The 22,279-nt window shown below is 34.8% G+C and overlaps 1 protein-coding gene and 1 long non-coding RNA gene across 2 annotated transcripts in view; one reads left to right on the forward strand and one right to left on the reverse strand.

The window, feature by feature from the left end:
* The window catches only part of MEOX2 (mesenchyme homeobox 2), a 75,472-nt gene that overhangs the window by 49,577 nt on the left and 3,616 nt on the right, over nucleotides 1-22,279 (reverse strand). The gene's annotated exons all lie outside the window — the stretch shown is intronic.
* LOC105375166 (uncharacterized) lies at nucleotides 7,159-21,192 on the forward strand. The gene is made up of 4 exons (NR_134258.1): nucleotides 7,159-7,508; nucleotides 15,232-15,372; nucleotides 16,675-16,859; nucleotides 18,126-21,192. It is a non-coding gene; the product is annotated as an uncharacterized LOC105375166 (long non-coding RNA).

Here is a 22,279-nt window from a genome sequence, read left to right on the forward strand (position 1 = left end):
AGGCAGGCAGATCACCTGAGGTCAGGAGTTCAAGACCAACCTGGCCAACATGGTGAAATCCTACCTCTACAAAAATCAGCCAGGCATGATGGCGGGTGTCTGTAATCCCAGCTACTCGGGAGGCTGAGGTGGGAGGATCACTTGAACTCGGGAGGTGGATGTTGCAGTGAGCCGAGATCATGCCATTGCACTCCAGCCTTGGCAACAGAGCGAGACTCAGTCTCAAAAAAAAAAAAAAAAAAAAAAAAAAAAAGAGAAAGAGAGAGAAAGGAAGCATTAGGATACACTGAAGAGGGGTTGTTGTAATGTCACAGGTGAATAATAGCATTTCTAAATTAAGAAACTGGGTTAAGGGAAATATTAAACAGTTGCCCAGAATGTAAAATTGGTAGGCTTTGATAACTAAAAACATAAATAGCTTTTCTGTTGATAAGTGGCTATCTTTTTTCCTTACCAAATCTGCCATGACCTATAGCTGAGCTACTTCACATAATAAACTAAGAACCGTATTCACTCACATCTCTAATTTTTCTTAGCGCTAAGCTAATTATGGTTTAAGAGAGGGATATTCAAAGTTTCTCAATTTTCTTTATGATTGGTTAATATATTAGCATATTCATGAAAATGACTTGATCAAATAGCTACCTACATAAACTATGGGGCCTGAATTTTGGAATGCGTTTTGCTTTTAAAATCAACCACATATGTTTTTAGAAGTTCATCACTTTGCCAATGGGAGGGACTCAATATGCACTTTATAAGTGACTGAATGACTGAAGGAGTGGGGAGATGAATCAATCATCCTAAAAAATATGATCAGCCATTTCAAAGTGGCATTCTTGATGCGTTTTCCTTTTATGGCAAGGCAAACACACAAAGTTCCCTGTGTAAGACAGAATGCATTTATTATATGGCTGGTAACGATTAGGGCAGTGCTATATAGCCACGAAAGAAAATCATTCTCTGAGAGAAGCGAACGTTCAAAACCTAAGCCTGTGGTTTTGACATTATTAGTACCACTCTACCTGCTTAAGCATTGACAAATTATTCAGTAACAGATAATGACTGGCTGGGGTGGCAAACATAGATGCTACTACCTCCATAATTGCACAACTACATACTGTAAAATTGCATTATGCAATGGAGTCAAGTTAAATAGGGTATAATAAAATAAACTTGTTTTGTATTTAGACAGAACTTTGCAAAGTTAACAATTTCATTTTCATCTGAAGCAAGTCCATCCTTACACCCTGGAATTAAAATGAAAAAGATCAGTGTTCCCCCACCCCCCACCCTACCAATTCCATTTATTCTCTTTACTGGTGTTGACTAGGAAAATCTCGAACAGAAAATTAGCACTACTACTGCTAGTTACATTTCAGTTAATTTTTGAGAAGGAAAAATAAAATCAGTCAAAGTCCATTATCTAGAGAATTCTAATTTAGCAACTTTGAGGTCTTCAAATAAGAATGTAATATTAATGTCATACATAATATATTTTCTTTAGGGATGTGTATTAGTTATAGGGGTTTTCAGTTCTCCATTTTCTTAAACTAAAAGCAATTAAGTAGATAGGGAAGGAAAGATTGAGACAATTCTACTTATAGTTAATTTTAAAAATCTGTATACCAAACTGCTCCAATAGCATGAATATCAGCTGCACAATAGTCTAATGAGATTTGAACTGTCAGCAGAACAGAACTTTTGAATGATACTAGATTCAAAATAAAAGAATAGAGACAAAAGGACTGGGAAAATTAAACATATTTTGTAGTTGCCAGGCAATATAATTTTTCAAGGTTGAGTAATGCATTCATCCCCTATAGGAATAAGCAGACTTTTAGTTTCCATAGTGTTATAAGCCAAATTTTGATATTTTTGGCTTAGAACAATGGAGCAGGCCCCCATTCCTTCAAAGTTTTTCCACATCCTCTTTAAAAGTGCAGTGACTGGGAGTATTTTTGGTAATTTATTTGTATTTCGTACTGAGATTTATAAAAAATGAAACCACTCCAAAAGATTCATGACTGAATGCAGGACATATGAAAATTTAAAAGCACAGTTCATTAAACCAATCAATGATTCCCATGATTAGAAAATAATCTAACAGACAGTGCATTTTGTTCTGGAGGTCAAAGTCTAAGTTATTACCAATACCCTGGGAACAGAAGCCCCACAATTAAGAGGCCTCCATACCATTTTATCAAATAATTCAAGGATGTAAGTAGCATGAAATATACTAACATAGTGGTCATTCTCACATCTATAAATAACCAATCTGTAAATCTATTCTACAGATAGAACACTAGCGTCCCTACTGAAGTTCCCAGTGACTGAGGCCACACAGAACACACAGACATGACACTCTTTCACAGCCACAAATAACATTTTATTTTAAAAATATCAGAGATTTCTGAAAATCAATATAATTATAAATTCATTATTGAAAATTAATGAGTAAGAAGACAAAATTTTCCAAAAAGATGTAAGAACTCATCTTGTGGCCAACTGTGTTAATGTCAAGCAAGAGAAATTTCTGTAGTAATCTTTTTTTTTTTTTTTGAGACGGAGTCTCACTCAGTCACCCAAGCTGGAACGCAGTGGCACGATCTCAGCTCACTGAAACCTCCTCCTCCCGGGTTTAAGCAAGTCTCCTGCCTCAGCCTCCTGAGTAGTTGGGGTTACAGGCGCATGCCACCACACCCGGCTAATTTTTGTATTTTTTTTTTTTCAGTAGAGATGGGGCTTCACCATGTTGGTCAGGCTGGTCTCGAACTCCTGACCTCGTGATCCACTCACCTTGGACTCCCAAAGTGCTGGGATTACAGGCGTGAGCCACCGCGCCCAGCCAATAATCTTTAATATATAAAAATGACATAGCACTAAACTTATTTTTTGAAAGACAAAAATAACATGCAAGCTTTCTGAAGGTTGGGACTATTATAAATTAAATTAAACGCACTGTGGCAGGCATTTAAAGAGAGAGATGGGCATAAGGCTGGCAGTAAGAAGCAAATCATAGCTCGTAGTAATAGCATCATTCCAATCACTAAGCTGCTGGAAGAGACAAAATAACTTGTTATTTGATCTCCTAATTAGGCTCTTGCTCTGTTCAATACTATCTGTTTGAAAATGTATAGATAGATATAGATAGACAGACAGATAGATGATAGATAACTGATTTGAGAAGTTTATCAAATCTTGAGAGAAAGAAAATTTTGAGTTCAAATAAAAATTTTAGTTCAGATCAAGTTTTGTTTTTGTTTTTATTTTCTTTTAGCATCATGATTGTTAAAGCAAATATGAACTACAGTTGGCTGTACTTAAAGACCCAATATATGTGAAGGAGATAGGTTAAGAGGGATTTACTCTGCTATTGAGACACATAAATTCATTAATAAGAAATAAGGGATTAAACAAAAATATGCTTTTAAATTTAATTTTGGGATATGCTTTTGGTCTTCCTCTTAACGTCTGTTTCTTCCCTTTGTGTTGTATTTGCTTTTTGATCTTTCTAGTTGTTGTGGCATTTGGCTTCTCTTTTTCTTACATCTTACCTGACCTTGTATTTCCCTATTAAATTGCTAGTGAGAATATATGTGCAGTTACTTTGGAGGTACTCATTTATTTTGATTGAGGTAAACAACAATGAGTCATAGTTCTGAAATTTTCCAACATCAAATATGCCAGCAAACAAACAACAAAAACTCTCAGCAATAGATGCTTGATGTTTACTCCTCAAGCAAGACCCCACCTTTCTAGTAAAAGCTCCTATATAGGGATCAACTACCATTTGATTTAAAGTAGAATATGAAATAATTTAAAAATAAAAATACTTCAGGGCTAATTCATTGGGTGGGGGACACAACCCTCCAGCTATAATTCCTAACATTTTCTCTTCAAACGTCCTATGTTCCCACAAATCAGTCTTTCTAATTAAGAAGTTTGCAAGGGCTGTACAGATTTATTTCTTGGCTTAGTCTCTGCTCTTTTGCTAAATGTCAAGGTTTGAGATTTGTTAGAATTCGTGCTCTGTGGATATCTGCTGGACTTTCTAGCAGGTGTGAAGACCCCACCACTCCTTCTGTTGCATCTCATTTCCACTTATTAAATACTTTATCTTGGAGGATGAAGCAAAAGTGACTTTTGTGTTTCCTGGCAGTCTCCTGTTTCAAAGGACTTAATAGTGATTTGTTTATTTCAGAGGAAATGAACACCAGTCAGTGATGACAGATTTATTATTAAGTGGACATCACACACACACACACACACACACACACACACACACACACACACAAAGCCTCTACTTTTCTTACAGTTCAGGGTTCCTTCTAACCACACTCTAAATGGTCAAGACAATGTTACACATTTTGGCAAACCAGAGCCATGTGATTCAATATCATCAAATCTGTGAATCTATATGATTTCCTCCAGATACATTGCCAGAATAACCCAGGGAAAATGAAATGAGCAAAGAAAACTAAGTTTACCTTAAAGTATGAAAAAAAAGCACCTTAATCAATCAGCAGCCCTAATTATCTTTTGGAAAATACTTGAAGGAATATTCAAAGCAAAAAGAGATTAATTTCAGGAATTCAAGTAAGATGTCTGTTATTTAGAAAGAGAATACAAGAAAACCCTGAAACTCCAGATCCTGAAGTAGTTTTAAGTACAACAGCACTATAGATTTACTTGTCATTTTAGTCACTAATGAAATATATTAATGTTAAGTTGAATTTTCAAAATAAATTTGAAGAATAAATATCAACTCCAGAATGGTCCAAATTATTCTTCCCCCAAAATGACCAATTTTACCATGTAGTAAATATCATGCAGGTCAGATACTGAGATCTCATCAATAAGAATTACATCCCTTTTAGATTCCATTTTAAAAATACTGGCAAAGTAATTTGTAGTATTCATTCAGATCAAGTGGACATCAGTAATGTAACATTAATTTTGCTAGACTAGGAAAGTAGATTTATATGCTATCTTTACCCTTATTGCTGAAAGCGCGCAGCTGAATAATCCTCAAAGGTAAAATTTCAGCTACTTGACACCTTAATAAACAAAGAAATTAAATGTTCAAACAGCAGATTATAGAAGATACTCAATGGGATGCTATTATTCCCACCTCTGCATATATGGTTTTAGGGGTGCCACTTTCTGAGCCTCAATTTTCTCAAATTTAAGATTGAGAGGGTGGTTTTGATGGATTCTAGAACCCCTTCCAATTCTAACATTCTGAGAATGTGTTCAAATGTAGACTGCAGGAAGGTATTAACAGCTCTCAAGATAAAGATGGAAATAAAGGAAGAAATGCCAAGACCAATGGAGGGAAACTCAGAAAGGGCTAAAAGTCACATAACTTGTTTCATAATTGTCATCTAAAGTCAGTCCTCGAAACATGGGAGAGCCAATACAATGTCATGCCTATAAATGTAATTCTCAATGACTTCCATAGGCCTAATCCTCCCTTACCTTATCAAAATGGCATTGATTTCATGCCAAAAATAATAAAGCTTATATATATTTAACCAGCTATGAAAATCTCCTGCCTTTCACTGTGACTTTATCTAATGATGTCCTAGGAATTGTATTTTTGAAATACAAAGTTTAGTAACCTTGGATCAATTACTGCTTCACAAACCTTGGTGCATGAGACAAAGAAATATTCAAATGGGGCCGGCTGAGGTGGCTCATGCCTGTAATCCCAGCACTTTGGGAGGCCAAGGCGGGCAGATCATAAGGTCAGGAGTTCATGACCAGCCTGGGCAACACGGTGAAACCCTGTCTCTACTAAAATACAAAAAATTAGCCGGGCGTTGTGGTATGTGCCTATAGTCCCAGCTATTTGTGAGGCTGAGGCAGGAGAATTGCTTGAACCTGGGAGGCGGAGGTTGCAGTGAGCCGAGATCGTGCCACTGCACTCCAGCGTGGGCAACAGAGCAAGACTCTGTCTCAAAAAAAAAAAAAAAAAAAAAAAAAAAAATATATATATATATATATATATATATATTCAAATGGTAAAAATTGAGGATATGAACAAGAATATCCTAGGAATAGATTTTGCACAGGATTCCAGGAACCCAAAAGCCACACTGAATTAAATATCCTTATTACTTGACAAGGTCCCTTATGTTTTTCTTCAAAATGATTAGATTCTGGCCACCATCTACTAGATATTCATGTACTCATCAGCTTTTAGAAGTAGGAAATAAGGCTGGGTGCAGTGGCTCACACCTGTAATCCCAGCACTTTGGGAAGCCGAGGAGGACAGATCACAAAGTCAAGAGATCTAGACCATCCTGGCCAACAGGGTGAAACCCCGTCTCTACTAAAAATACAAAAAATTAGCTGGGTGTGGTGGCACACGCCTGTTGTCCCAGCTACTTGGGAAGCTGAGGCAAGAGGATTGGTTGAATCCAGGAGGCAGAGGTTGCAGTGAGCCAAGATTGCACCACTGCACTCCAGCCTGGCAACAGAGTGAGACTCTGTCTCAAAAAAAAAAAAAAAAAAAAAAAGTAGGAAATAAGAGGTGAGAGGAGTTGAGGCAGCTGCCACCCTTTTCCTGGAAACTCCCTGGATTTCTCTGAATATTTGCATCATGTTTGCTGCATTATTATACCCTCTGTCACAGATTGTCACCATTTGTTTCCATCTTTGGCTTCCCTATTGTACTGCGGACGCTTCCAGAAACCTCAAGGTGTTCTGTTCGTCTTAGTGTACCCAAAGCGTAGGGCCAAGTCCCTGGAACTTAGGGAATTATGTACAAGTTTATTAATTATGATGCTGCTGAAACACCTATTGCATTGGTGTGTGTGTTGGGGGACCTAGGGGAGGTAGGCTACAATTTGAAATGAATAACCATTTATGAAAATCATCCTTTTCTGAGCTCCTCCCTTTAAATAATTCATCTTGGGCTAAAATACTAATGTGCTTCCTAAGGTTAATAAGTGATTTTAAATGAAGTATATTTTCATTAAGAGATGTAAAAGGAGAAAGTTTTTACAAGGTATTAGAAGTGTAGAGAAAATGTGAGGAAGTATTTATATCTGACCTGAGAATAGCTCAGCTACTTAATGAGGAAAATCCCTTAATCACATTGTGTGTGTGCCTCTTGTGTTAAGCAGTCCCTCCCTAGTTCAGCACCTCTTTAGGACACAGTTAAACAACAGATCCACTTTATTCCATCCCCTTGGAATAACATATTTAAATTTCTTATTGGTTTAATTCGTTTTTCTCACATCCCGAGTTTTCAAGGTAAAGCCAAGTAATGTGGAAACTACCTATTTCTACTGTGTACTAACATGCATTTAACTACAGTTGACCTTTGAACAACAGGGGGTGGAAACTGTGTAGGTCTACTTATGCATGGATTTTCTTCCGCCTCTCCTACCTGAGACAGAAGACCTTTGCCTTCTCTTGCTCCTTCTGCTCAGCCTGCTCAACCTGACGGTGATGAAAACTGAAGCCCTTGATGATGATCCACTTCCGCTTAATGAATAGTAAATATATTTTCTCTTCCTTATGATTTTCTCAATAACATTTCTTTTCTCTGGCTTTACTTTATTGTAAGAATACAGTATATAATACATATAACATTAAAAATGTGTGTTAATCTACTGTTTATGTTATTGATAAGACTTCTGGGCAATAGTAGGCTAGTAGTAGTAGTTAAGTTTGTTTTTGTTTTTGTTTTTTTTCTTTTGAGACAGAGTTTTGCTCTGTCGCCCAGGCTGGAATGCAGTGGCGCTATCTCGGCTCACTGCAACATCCGCCTCCTGGGTTCAAGCGATTCTCCTGCCTCAGCTTCCTGAGTAGCTAGGATTACAGGCACCCACCACCACGCTAATTTTGTATTTTTAGTAGAGATGGGGTTTCACCATGTTGGTCAGGCTCGTCTCGAACTCCTGATCTCAGATGATCCGCTCGCCTCAGCCTCCCAAAGTGCTGAGATTACAGGCATGAGCCACCACACCTGGCCAGTAGTTACGTTTTAGGAGACTTGAAAGTTATACATGGATTTTCAACTGCACATGGGGATCTGCACCCCTAACTTCCACATTATTCAAGGGTCAACTCTACTGCAGTTAATTAACATAAATTTAATTAGTGTCTCTAATAGGGATGCTATACATACGCAAACTATTTCTTCTAAGTGGTTTCTATTTAAAACATCATCTCTTACCTCTCCTTACTATGTCCACGGAAAAAACAATAGCACCATTTCTTAATTTGCAAAAAGTCAGATTTATTAATCTAAAGTAAAAAACAATTGGTATTAATAACACAATTACCACATCCACACATTTACACACCAATGACACCAATATCGTACGAGTAAAGTTTCAATATAAAAGTAAACTCATAAATGTCACTCAATGAAAACTACTGAAAGGTTTTCTCTACACTTCTTCTATACCGCCAGTAAAACTTTACTACAAATTGTATTTGGTCTAGACTTATTTCTGTTCCAAAACCCCTTGTGAATAATGAGAGTTGCCTGGGCACTTATTTATATTTGGCTCAAGTGCTATAATATGTATATTTGTTTTTTGTGTTTCTAAGATATCCTGATTGCAATCATTAACACTTTTTCTACATTTTCATACTTTAACGCACACTCTCAACTCATAAATTCTAACGTGAATATGTCCAGTAATATCTTTGCCTAATGTGTAGCGTTAATACTACCTTTTCTATCACAAATCACTAGCAGGTTAATCCTCAATTAATTCCCAATTAATCTTTATTAAAAATGAATTCACTGGTGAATAGTCCTCCTGCTTCCCACATAGTCAAAACTCTGCAGTCGTGGCAGCTGAATTGCGTAATGTATGGCCACGGCCAAACAGGCCCAGATGTTTCACGGTATAGACAAGAGACTCCCTATACGTCACTCTTTTCTTTTGCATTTGCTCTTTTCTAATGCCAGGATGAATACTTTATTCTCCTTCTAAAAAGTTAAAAACTCCTCTAGTAGCTTCTGTTTCTCAGCTACCTGACTTGCGATTCTGGAATTCAGACCACGGATTTCTAAAGACTACATCTATTGAGAGGCTTTAAAGGTTAATGATTCTAGGTCATTAGTTGCCACTGCCTGATTCGATTAAGTTTTCATACTTTCCCCCTGGAAAATCTAGCCTAGTTCCTGGCGTGTTCCCCATCCTTTCCCAGAAAAATGTCTCCTCCCCATTCCTCAAGAGGCCTGGAAGAATCTCCCTAGTTGACCTTACATTCTTGAATATGCTTTTATTGTTTGCTTTCCTGCTTCCAAAATTCTACTTTTTTTCTTACATTAACTTCCATTGTTATGTTGTGCTTTACCTCATTTTAATTGGGTATCTACAATTCAATGATTTCATATTTCTGATTTTGCTTTTATTTTGATAAGTCCCCATATCTTACACATGTGCATTATGTTTAATAATTATTTTAGGATGCACTTTGTCCTCTTCAAAACAATGAATGCATTTTATTTTCATAAATATTTGGTTGATAGATGCAAGAATTTATCCATGAAGGCATTTGGTAAAATACTACTCTTTACATTTCACCTTCAGATATGCTTCAACTTTTCATTGTAATTGGCTTGTTGTGGTATTTGAATCTGATAATCTCTTTGTCCATTGAGGTGGGAGAGGGATCCCATCCTTGATGCCTCCTTCAGTAGCTGAAGGGTAAGAAAATTTGTCTCGTTGTTTAGAATGACTGTCCAGCTGGAGTTACTGACATATGAAAATGTTCTATATTTGTGCTGCCTGATACATTCACTAGTAGCCACATATATCTATTGAGTACTTGGAACGTGCTTAGTGGAGCCAAACAATTGAATTTTTAATTTTATTTAGTTAAAATTTAAATTTACATAGCAACATGTGGCTTTACATACCATACTACATGACATAAAACAGTGTTAAAATAATTGATGCTGAGCATATATGTACAAATGGTCATTTCTAGCACATCTGTAATATTTGTTGAGCAACCCTGTCTGACATTGCTCTCCAGGTGCAGAAAAAGATCATATTTAGACTACGGGGTCCTTGACTCTCAGAACTTTTCAACTGAGAAACAAGACTATTCTAAACTGGTAATTCTCAACTTTGTCTATATATTGCAGTCACCTGGAAGCTTTTTTAAAAATACTAATGTCCAGATAAAATAATAAGATATCTGAGATGTTTTCAAAATAATTGGGACACTATGAGGCAGTAGTGGGTTGGCACAAATAAATAAGATTTGCCATGTGTTGATAAACATTGAACATAATGGACACAGGGAAGTCCATTACACAATTCTCTCTATTTTTTAAATGCTGTAATTTTCCAATATAAAAATTTTTAAATGCCAGCTCCATTCTAGATGAACTTAATCATATTCTATGAGATATCAGTATTTCTTAAAAATGCCCATATCACTCCAATGTAACATCAGTGTTGAGAATTACTAGTCAGAAAAAAAGTAATTTTATGATAAATTAAAGAAGCATGGAGAGTCTGACAGTAATCTGTTCTTATGAACTAAAGAAATTGCTAAAATGGAATCAGTATCAGAGTCATTGGTAACCAAACTGATCAGATTTAACAGATTTTTTTAAACCTATCAAAATGTGTTGCAATATGGATTGATTTTTACTTCCTTACAGAAATAAATGCTAACTCAATTGCACAAGTAAACTTATTGCACACTTTCCTTTTATTAGACAGTTTACGTGACTAAGCCCAGACCCAGAGCTGAAATGACTTTATTAGCTTGCCCACCCCTCACTATCATTTCTCCTTCCTTACAAGCCAGGCCACAGTGTGGTTACTTATCAGTGTCTCATAACTACACAAACAAACAGCATTGAGGAATATGGTTAACCAGTCATACTCAAATCAGAGTGACATGACACAGGTATTACAGTTTAAATCAGTATCATTGTATCAAGGTCCTCATAAAGGAGATTTTTCATTTCTTTTTTAAAAATTGGTCAATTTGGGCTGGGCATGATGGCTCACACCTGTAATCCCAGTGCTTTGGGAGACCACGAAGTGCTTATCACTTGAGGTCAGGAGTTCAAGACCAGCCTGGCCAATATGGTCTCTAATAATTGTACATCTCTATTAATAATACTAATCTCTACTAATCTCTACTAATAATACAAAAATTAGCCAGGCATGCTCGTGCATGCCTGTGATCCCAGCTGCGTGGGTGGCTGAGGAAGGAGAATCACTTGAACCCAGGAGGCGGGGGTTGCAATGAGCCAAGATCGTACCACTACACTCCAACCTGGGTGACAGAGCAAGACTCCGTTTAAAAAAAAACAAAAAAAACAAAAAAACAAAGTGATCAATTGAAAAATTTGAAATTAATCTATTTTTTATTTTCAAATCACCAACTATTTTCGCCATTATCCATTACTACAATGCAGATTGCTTGATATTCCTTATGTTTCTCAGTTGTCCAATGATTCCATGTTTTATTTAATGTTTTGTCTCTATTAGACTGGCATATTAAATACTATGTTTCTTGACTGTATGTAATGCTCAGAAGCTCAACAATGTATAGCATAACTGCACAGAATGTATATAGAATCTTATGTCTTACTTAAAAATAATGTAATGAGGCATTCTCACATGTTAGAAAATTAGGCTTGACAGTTTCCAAATTCTTAAAAATATAGACATCTTACCTTTGAAATTATAGATTGTTTTGCTGGTTTATGCTAAACTTTTAAAAATGCATACTTATTTTTGTCCTGATTAATCCAATAATAGCAAATATATCACATACAATCAAAGGTATTTCACTTTAGAAAGTATCCGTAAATATTGGGCAGGTCGCGGTGGCTCACACCCATAATCCCAACACTTTGGGAGGCCAAGGTGGGCGGATCATGAGGTCAGGAGATCAAGACCATCCTGGCTAAAATGGTGAAACCCCATCTCTACTAAAAATACAAAAAATTAGCCGGGTATGGTGGCACGTGCCTGTAGTCCCAGCTACTTGGGAGGCTGAGGCAGGAGAATTGCTTTAACCTGGGAGGCAGAGGTTGCAGTGAGCCGAGATCGTGCCACCGCACTCCAGCCTGGGCAACAGAGCGAGATTCTGTCTTGAAAAAAAAAAAAAGAAAAAGAAAAAAGAAAGTATCCATAAATATCAATTAGACACAAACACAGATAATTAAACTTAACCTGGACAGTCATTCAACTCTCCTACAGATTGCCCAAGCATCTTCGAAATTTGCCCTATTCTAAAAGCCTGGAACCAAGACCTTCAAAACACCCCTAACAAGGAGAAATCATTCATTATAAGGGAAGCATTTCCTATGCCAGAAATAGGATTTACCAAGAACTGTGCACCTAAGCCTATGCTGGAAAACACACTAAAAGAAAAAGAAAACACTAATTTTTCCTTAGGGAGTGCATATTTCTGATCCAAGTAAAAAACCAGAGACATGTGAACTAGGCCACAAGGGGAAATGTAAGTGTAGTCTTCTGCACTTTATAGATATTATATGGCAAGGGAAAAGTAATGATTAGTGTAGGGAGGTAGTGATCTTAAAAGGTGTAACCATCCACATTTTAATGAAAATGATGCATATAGATTGGGAAAATATATTACAGGCTATGGGATAGAAATAAAAAATAAATCTGGCAGGCGTCATAGAACTAAATACACACACAGAAGTGCATATAAAACAGTGAAATCTGAATAAGGGCTCCTTCTGTATTACTTCTTACAACTGAAGGTGAATTTACAATTACCTCAAAATAAAGATTTTTTTTTTTAGATGAGGAATAGACATAAACAAGTCTATCAAAAAAAAAAAAAAAAAAAAAGATTGGTCAGAACAAAAGCAAAACCAACATCAACAAAAACGGTCCTAGCTGGTCAATAAAGGTTGTACCGATTAAGATGAGAGATTGTAGACAGAAATCCATTAAAATATAGTCTAAATTCTTTTCTGAGGAGATTCGATAGTAAGGCATAACATGTCACTGGGGATTCTTGACTAACTAAGAGATGTGGAAAATCCTGTAGAAAACTTGAATGTAGCTAAACTATAAACATTTAGATATTCACATTAGAAAATATCAGAACATTGTCTTAAACTCCTAACATTAAGCATCATATTCCAAAGACTAAGTGAAAAGTTCACTTTGCCACAAAAGCAGTGCTCTAAATACACACACATACGCATATATGTGTATGTGTATATAGATAGATAGATGATAGACAGATAGATATAATAATACATACATATCTATAGATAGATATAATATTAAACAAAATTTGGTTACACACAAAAGCCAGTACAAGTAATATCTAATAACATATTATTGATTGACATTAGCCGGTCCCTGTGTCATGTGTTTCAAAGCCAATAATTCAACATTTGTATTTTAAGTGTAGAATAATTTCAGGTTATCATAGAATTCCACAAACAGAAATGATACGGTCAAAATAATACTACATGTTGTATTATTCTGCAGCATTTAATTAGAGAAGAATGACAAGAGATAAAGATGTTCAGAGAATACTCACTTTGGGAGTCCTGGGGGAAAGAACTAAATTAAGTGCAAGAGACCTGAAAGTAGGCAAAGGGGAAAAATATAGAAGAATATGGAATAGAACGGATTTGAACCATGCTCTGGTAGGATGAAGCAATGGAACTCAGTCTTAAATATAAGTCTAATAGAAAAGAAGAAATCATCAGCTGAGACTATAAATGTGAAAGCATTTGGCAGTAAATTAAAATTAATTAGATAAAAGATTCTGTGTGTGTGTGTGTGTGTGTGTGTGTGCATGTTTAGAAATGGTGTTGTCTTTAGAAAACAAAAGGAAAAAAGTTATGGAATAATTAACTGTATTTTTGATATTTAATTCTGTGTTTTGAGAGTCTTGTAAGAACTAAGGATCTGAAATAGACAAGAATGGTCAATGTTAGACTGCTCCAGAGGTTACACAGTTCATTGTATTAGAGAGGAACAGATGGGTCTGGTGTTTACACATTGTGGGGAAGATGGGTGTGAACAGGAGAGGAGGAGAAACAAGGAAAGCATGCCTGGTTAGCATAAGAAAAATGACCAATCATTAATATTTTTCAGCATCTTCTGTGCAAAAAGACTATATTAAATTTTTTAAAATCAATGGTTTTCTAAAACTGGGGATAAAGTTAAGGACTTGAGATAAGGGAAGGTTTCCTGGTGTTCTGCTTGTAGTAATGTTTTTTATTATTTTATCCAAACACAAAAAAAGGCAAATACAATATAGGTAATGCTCAACTTAACAAAATTTACTTGGATTAAATGTTAAATTTTTAAACAAAAAACAGATACTTCAATTCACAAATAACTGCCTAAAATATGATTCTGTTCACATAAATATCTACTATTTACAGCAAAGCCCATCTGCACATTGCCAGCTATTAAACTGTGTCAAATATATTCAGGTACTTTGGTAATTGACCACAAGAGCTACATCATTAAAAAAATTAAAAATTGAAGCTAAGAAAGTTGATCACTGTTTACATTCATAAAACAAAGCTGAAAAATGTCTGAGGTAATCATGAAATCAGATTCTGGGAGAGGTAATTTACACTCAAGCAAAGCACTTTGTCAAATTCCATTTTGTTCACTTAAAAGCAGTAGTCAACATTTTAAGTGATGCTGAAATTTATTTTTATTGGGAAGACTAAAAACTTAAGGCTTCAAAATATTTTACGAGATTTTCCTTTTAAGGGCACTAGGCTGAAGTCAGGATATGGAAGCTCAGCTGCCACTACTTGGCTGAATGGACAGACATTACTTAACTTCTCTGGGCACATTCCCTCATCTAGGAAATACATTCATTGAACTGGGTAGTGCCTTGAGGCTCTTCTAGTGTCTTGATTATTTTGATTCTAATCATCTGTTTAAATATTACAGGTTACAATTCATTAAGAAAACTTTGACAAATCAAGCCTCCTCTAAAATCAAAGAGTCAACGCACTGGTTGATGCCGTTGGACCCTTCTTGTCCCTGCTGTGTATTATCGGACATTTAATATTTTGCTCTTCTTCCTGTACTCTTCTACCTACATCCTCCCAGTTCTTCTATTATCTAACAGAGAAACACTCTCTGTTCCTTTAAACTTCTCTTGTTTTAGGGATCAAATTGCTATGGATCTGAAAATGCTTAAAAAGTTAACTCTGCATTTGTGATTTTAATATAATGCTTGATTCTATTATTTATTCAAAAGGCACTGTAGAAGTCTCGCATATATGATCATTTAAAATTTCGCTGAAGTCATGTCTGAATTCTGCACACTGCCTTATGGATGTGGGAGAGGTGACTAAACTGAGTCAACGCAGTCAACCACCCAGGACTTGCAATTCCAGGGGTTTGTTGTTCTCTTTTATCTCTATCTAAGTGATATTTCTCAATAACGTATTAAATATGCAAATGTGAACAAACAAATAATTAAAATATGTTCTTTGTAAAAAGAAATTATATCACCAAAATAAAATTCTGTTCATGCATTTTGTGTGGGACATACATGTTTTCAGCTTTTAGTAATATTTGCACATTTGCCATTCCTAAGGGTCTGCAACTGGAACTGCTAAAAATAACAGAGCAACAATAAGAAAATTCTCTCTGCAATAAAGTTTCTAACATAGCAGGAAAATGTCATTCCCACCCTCCTAGTTAACAGCTAAAACAGAGACCCAAAATTTCATTGTCATATTTGAATTCCTTTTATTTAAATTCTGTTTCCTCTTGACTAAATGCCCTGCCCCTCTGTACACTCCTTTTAAAAAGTTAAGTTCTGGCCGGGCGCGGTGGCTCACACCTGTAATCCCAGCACTTTGAGAGGCCGAGGTGGGCAGATCACTTGAGGTAGGTAGTTCGAGACCAGCCTGGCCAACATGGTGAAACCGCGTCTCTACTAAAAATATAAAAATTAGCGGGCGCCTGTAGTCCCAGCTACTCAGGAGGCTGAGGCAGGAGAATCACTTGAACCCGGACAGCAGAGGTTGCAGTGAGTCAAGATTGCGCCACTGCACTCCAGCCTGGGCAACAGAACAAAACTCGGTCTCAAAAAAAAAAAAAGAGTCCTCATTTTATTCTTTATTTTGCTCAATATGCACTCTTCCTGAAAACAGCTTTTCAATGGAGAAGTAGCAGGAGACCCAAGAGAAGAGGAAGTTAGGAGAGGTCCAAGTAAAAGAGGCTGTGGAATGGAAATCTTAAGGGTGGGAAAGGCAACTTGAGCCTCTTACATAACTTGGCTAGAATTCACCTTACATTTCAGGGAAATTTCATGCCGTTTACAATTCTAAGGACAATGATTATTTTAAATCTTTAGTAATTACTTAGGCAAGTTACATTTCCTATAGCAGTATTTGTAATAAAATGCAAACAGGTAGCATAAAATAGATTATTTTCAGATGGTGCATATGCATTACATAATTGTACATTCATTGATAGATGATAAAAATAATAACTGACACTTTACTAAGCCAGACATTGTTCTAATTGCTTTGTGTATATTAACTCAATTTCCTTTTCAGAAACGATGGTAGAGAAAAGTTAAATTTGTGGCCAAGAGGTGACAATAGTAAGAGACACAGCGGGGGTTTAGCCCTAACTATTGTGTTCTCCCAGATATGCTTGCCTCATTTCTTCTTCGGTTGACTCTTAGGGTTGCATCCACCTAACCCTCCGGGGTTCTGGCTTCGGATAGTGTTTGATCAATGGAAGCAACAAAAGAAGATTGGAGGACATGAAGACAGGTTACTGGATGATATTCGACATGAGCTGCAATCCTCCATCTGAGGTCCCAACTTTTCCAGAAGGCTTCTGTCCTGTTGCGCTCATTGGATTCTGGTAAGAGGTCCCTGCATTTACCCTCTCAGGTTAGGGGTGCTAATATATTCCAACTGTGGACAGACCCTGGGGGATTCATCATTTCCTGTGGTTTCCCTACATTCTACTCACCATCAAATTGCCATCATCAAACTCTCTTCAATTATCCCTTTGAGTGTGACATCTATTTCCTTGTCTAATATGATAATTAAGAAATAGGATAAATCTTTTATGATTTATCAACTAATGGCTAAATATGCAAAAGTGTTGCCACTTACTTATACTTTCCTAAACATCTGGGTATTCTAGAAAATAAATTATACAGCTCTACTTCCAGGAGCAAAGAATAGTTCTGGAGGAAAAATTATTTATAATTCCCTGAATTTTGAGTGTGGACATTCACAAGACTGTAATCTTAGAAACATGGGTGGCAGCAAGCCTCCAAATAGGGATGCCTAAACTCTGACTTTCCTGTCATTTTAATATGTCTCAATCATTTTTACATCTACATTCTGTCTAGTTTAATGCATCCAGATCTGTTTATACTTCAAATAAGAAAAAGAAATTCCCACGTAAGCATAGCCTATAGGTGAGAAAATTTTAATTGTTAAAGGCACTACACATACTAAGACCTCATTTTATCTTTGAATAATATTAAATAAGACATCACTTGATTCCAACCTATGCAGTGAGTGCTAAAGCATTATTTATATGGTTCTTTAAATGTGAAAGTTATTTGCTAAATTGCTGTTGTTCTACAAAACCAAGCTAGTCCCCATTACGTTTCGGATAACACATATTTATTTTTCTGAATAGTTTCCTGTTTGTGTTACCTACCAACATAAATCAATGATTTGCAAAATTTGCTTTGCATTCATTGTTAATTTGATAAGAGGCATGCCCATTTAATCTTTTCAACTAATAAGAATACACCTCAGTTTAGTTTGCTAGTTTTTTGGGTGGCTAAGAATAACCATCCAAATGTTTACTGTGCAGTCCAGACAGTGGACAAGCTACCTCAACAGACTCTGAATATATTTCACTACTGCATTTGCAAATAACTATCACTTTGCAAAAATAAGTTTTCATTTGGGTGTCATTTCTGGCAAAAATTTAAGGCTATATTTTCAAAGAGTAAAATTCTAGGCCTTTAAAATTCTACTGGCATCTGCCAACCTAAGCTGGACCCTCCTCTAGGTTTTGCGGAGCCTGACAGATGATTTCACCTTAGTCATTTTCTTGCCCACAGTCACGTAAGATAACTGCGAATTTGTTTTTTCCTTGTAGCATTATGGGATTCTCTTGAAGTGTGTGAAGAATAATGAGCTAAATAAAGAGGAAAAACAAAAGAAAACAAAAACTGCAGGGACTTTTATAACTATCATTGATTGCCAGCTTAAGCCTGCTGGACTCTTCACAAAACTATATATGCTTCAAGCTTAATATTTAATTTTGTAATTGGAACATTTATAATCATATTATGCATTTAATAAGGATGCTCTAATTCAGATTTACTATTATCAGGAAATTAAATTTGGAGTTACAGTAATGCATGCATATATATGTGTGGGTGTGAGTGTGCATATACCTATATATGTATATACATATATAAAGTAAACGCCTTCTTTTAACGTGTGTTTTAAGTATAGCTTCCATGTCCTAGTTAATTCAGCACCCTCCCTTTTATCCTTTCCTTGCCATTGTCCTCTCTACTAGACTACAATAAAAACAAAAAACTATGAAAGTAAGCAGCTTATAATCATAATTTTAATCAATGTAGCCTATGCAAGCTTTAAGAAACATACGTCTAACATCTTAGAAAGAAAGCTTATGAACACAAACAGCAGAATACTTAAATACATTTGAAACATTCACATTGAATTGATTCTACAAAATTTTGAAGAGCAACAGCTTTTGAATTTAGAGCTATAATCAGTACCCTAAAGTTTTTACCACTGAGTTACTACCTAGTAAAAATATGTTATATTTGCAATAAAAGTACACATTGTAAGGACATAAGAATTGTCATCAAGGTACACAAACATTTTAGAATTATTAAACATTTAAATAAATGGAAATTTTAAAAATAAAATAACAATATTATCATACAAGTTAATGATCCAGTTTATTAATTTCTAATTCTATTGATAAAACAAGGGATTATTTTTGAAAGGGTTTTTCTATCTTTCATACAAACCCTTTCCAAAAATGTATAGATACAGTACGGATTCTACCTGATCATTCTTGTGCATATGGTGATGTAAGAAACCAAAAAAATGTAAATTATTTTCATAACACTGTGAAAACCAATATTTAAAAATACAGTGCACAATTAGTAGTGAGTAACATATATAAATTTAGAAATATTATATTTCTGTACACAAAGTAACATTATAAATGAAAGCTTCAGGAATAATGAGCTACTTATTATTCCGGAAATTATATATCAAAAATTTCAAATATAGAGGAAAATTAAAAACCCACTCATGACCCATGAAAATTAATAACCCATTCGATCATACACTTACCATGTAACTTTCTGTTAATTTGGTAATAAATAATGTCAAGAGATTTTAAATGAAAATACTTATTCTGAAACATAAAAACAACATCTGAGATGAGCACAAATGGATCAATAGATACATTATTGATTATTTTGTATCATAAAATACTATCTAGTACAACATTCTTTAAAAAATTCAATATTTTTATAATGTAAGTAAAACGGGAAGAACTGTTAGAGAAATGGGCATCAGATTTAGATTAATTCTGCCTCTAACGCAAATTGTAGGCTGAGCCCTATATGTTCTTGACCATTCTAAGTTTTACTACATTAAAACACATAAAATATTCTGCGAGGTTTTCTCCAATGGGATTTTGAATCTCACTGATGACTGTGATTTAGGAGTAATGTAGAGAGTTTTGCAACTAACTTTACTTTACACCGTTACTCCTTTTCTACTTGGGGGTTCAGTTCAACACGCTAGTAAAAGAAATAGTCATGAGAGCATCCTAAGGAAAGTAGGCAAAATGTTAGTGCCTCATTATATTTACAATCTTTACAAAACATGTATGTCAGTAAACCATATTAACATCTAAAGCACATGATATGTAGAAACAAATTGTGACTACAAAATGTGTCTTGTTTCTTAAATATGCTAAATAGGAAATAAATCACATCTACTTCAATTTTTAATCTGTGGACTTTGGCCTTAGTTTGTGTTTTATTTTATTTTTTTGCTTTTGATTTTAACCACTGAAATCATTTACCAATACTATAAGCCAGGAAATACAATGTAACTGGCCAGTTGAGAATTAAGCCTTCTCTTTTTATTATTACAATCAAGGGGGGAAATGCTTATATATCTTCCTGCACAAAATGTTTCATTTATCAAAAAAAAAAGTGAGAAAAATAAAGAAAATTTGGGTGAGATAAATAATCCACAACTATTAATTCAACAGATATTATTTAAGAAATTCCTACCTGTAATTTATTTTCTAATATTTCTGCATCCTTAGTATTTATCGCTCAAAGATATTTGCAGCCCTCATAGCAGTGCTTGGAAAAGAGATTTGCTCTGAAAATTTAGAAATAAATTCCTGAGGTGAATACAGTTCAAAACTAAAATATATTGCTGTATTATATTGGTTTTTCTCATTTGAAATTAAAATCTAAAAAACCTTCATATTAGGTTGTGTGTGTCAAGCTGCCATTATAAAAACACTAAATGAATAAAATTTCGCAAGCAAGGCAGCATTATCAGGCTAAGTACATGTAGTGGGCTTATATATGGTGATGTTTTACATAATTCAGCTATTAATTCATCTATAGATTTACATTTCTTAAGTGCAAAAAAAAATGTAATTATTTCATTACATATGGAATTCACCTCCCAAATTTCTCAGAATCTAAGAGAAAGGATTGACATTTTCTGATATTTCATTTTTGCTTAAAATTAAGTTCTTAGGATGTTTAGATTTTATTATAAATATTACAACTTAAATTCCAGAGTTATAATGAACGGTCTATGTTTTGAAACACAGAGGGAGAATGGGGTAATGACTGAAGTACTGTTTTTTCAGTTTATTAGTAAAGATCAGCTTATAAGATGTCATTGTAAAGGTTTCTATTGATAATTACCATAAACAAAGATTAAAACTTTAAATACTAAGTTCTGGATTTCTAAGCCCGGTGAAAGTTTGTGCAATACCATGCCTTGCATTTATGATTTTTCTTTTAAAATGAACTATAAATGAAGAAATTTACACAGAATTGGAAACTATTCCTACTTTTATTTGCATTCTTCCTTCCATTCATTGCTAATGTTCAACAATAAAGCATTTTAATTCTAAAGGAATTGTTGCTTTTAACTTGAGTGTGATTATTTTAGATCACATTTTAGAGCCCTCATGTAGGTCAATGATACTTAGAATTTTTTATGTCAGATTACCATTTTTAAATGTTCACACCTAAAATTAGTCTACCAGTCCAAGATAAAGAATGGAAGTTTTTTTTTGTACTCCATTTGATTTGTTCAATACTTCACTTTAATCTTCAAGATCCAGTATATTATTTTTTAAATTCTAAAGCAAATGCTGAAAAGCCACAATCCAGTAACACAGAAATGAATAATAACACTAATTTATTCCTTTCAGAAAACACAATGATTGAAATATCTTGGAAATATTACAATATCATACTGAATGAGGTTGATAAGGTATTACTCTGAGTTTAAGTTCCAACTTATTAAATGTAATATTTGCTAGTCATTCTGCATAGTCAAGCATATAGACAGACATAATTTGACAGCAAAGGTTTTATGACATAGTAGCTATAAATAAAATATTTGTAATTTTACAAGAATCTAATATGATTCAAAACCTAGTAAAGTCTACCTCCCCAAATCGCTCTTTTCTTTTTTGATGTAATTTCTATTTTTTATAAAATATGTATCATAAATTTGAATAGAAAATATCTAGATATGTACACTGTATAACCATGCACAAAAGCTAAAGTTCGATCAATGAATTAATTTTAGTTATTTTAACTAAAACTGGGCAGTTTATTCCTACTACTAGATTGCTCAAAGAGCAACCAAATGTAATTGAAGCCAAGCAATTCACACTATTTATAGACATTTTTCAGAATCACCTGCTTTGTAGTGATTTTTTTCAGCAGTTGTAAAGTTTTGATTTTTAAGAGTCCCTTTGAAGACGTGGCAGATGTTGGCTTTGCTAATAATGCTGGAAAGCGTAGCAGGTTCAAAGTTACAAAAATGTTTAACACATATAAAATATAATGGTGTGTTTTTCTATTAAATTTGGTTATTTTCAATTGTCAATAAACTTACATAAAGGAAGCCTAAAGTCCATAAATATTTGCTTCCAAAACATGAAGCTGCTAGAGTTTGCATATGTGTGTGTCCATGTGCATTTGTGGA

This window comes from Homo sapiens, chromosome 7, assembly GCF_000001405.40.
Source record: "Homo sapiens chromosome 7, GRCh38.p14 Primary Assembly".
Taxonomy (NCBI): Eukaryota; Metazoa; Chordata; class Mammalia; order Primates; family Hominidae; genus Homo; species Homo sapiens.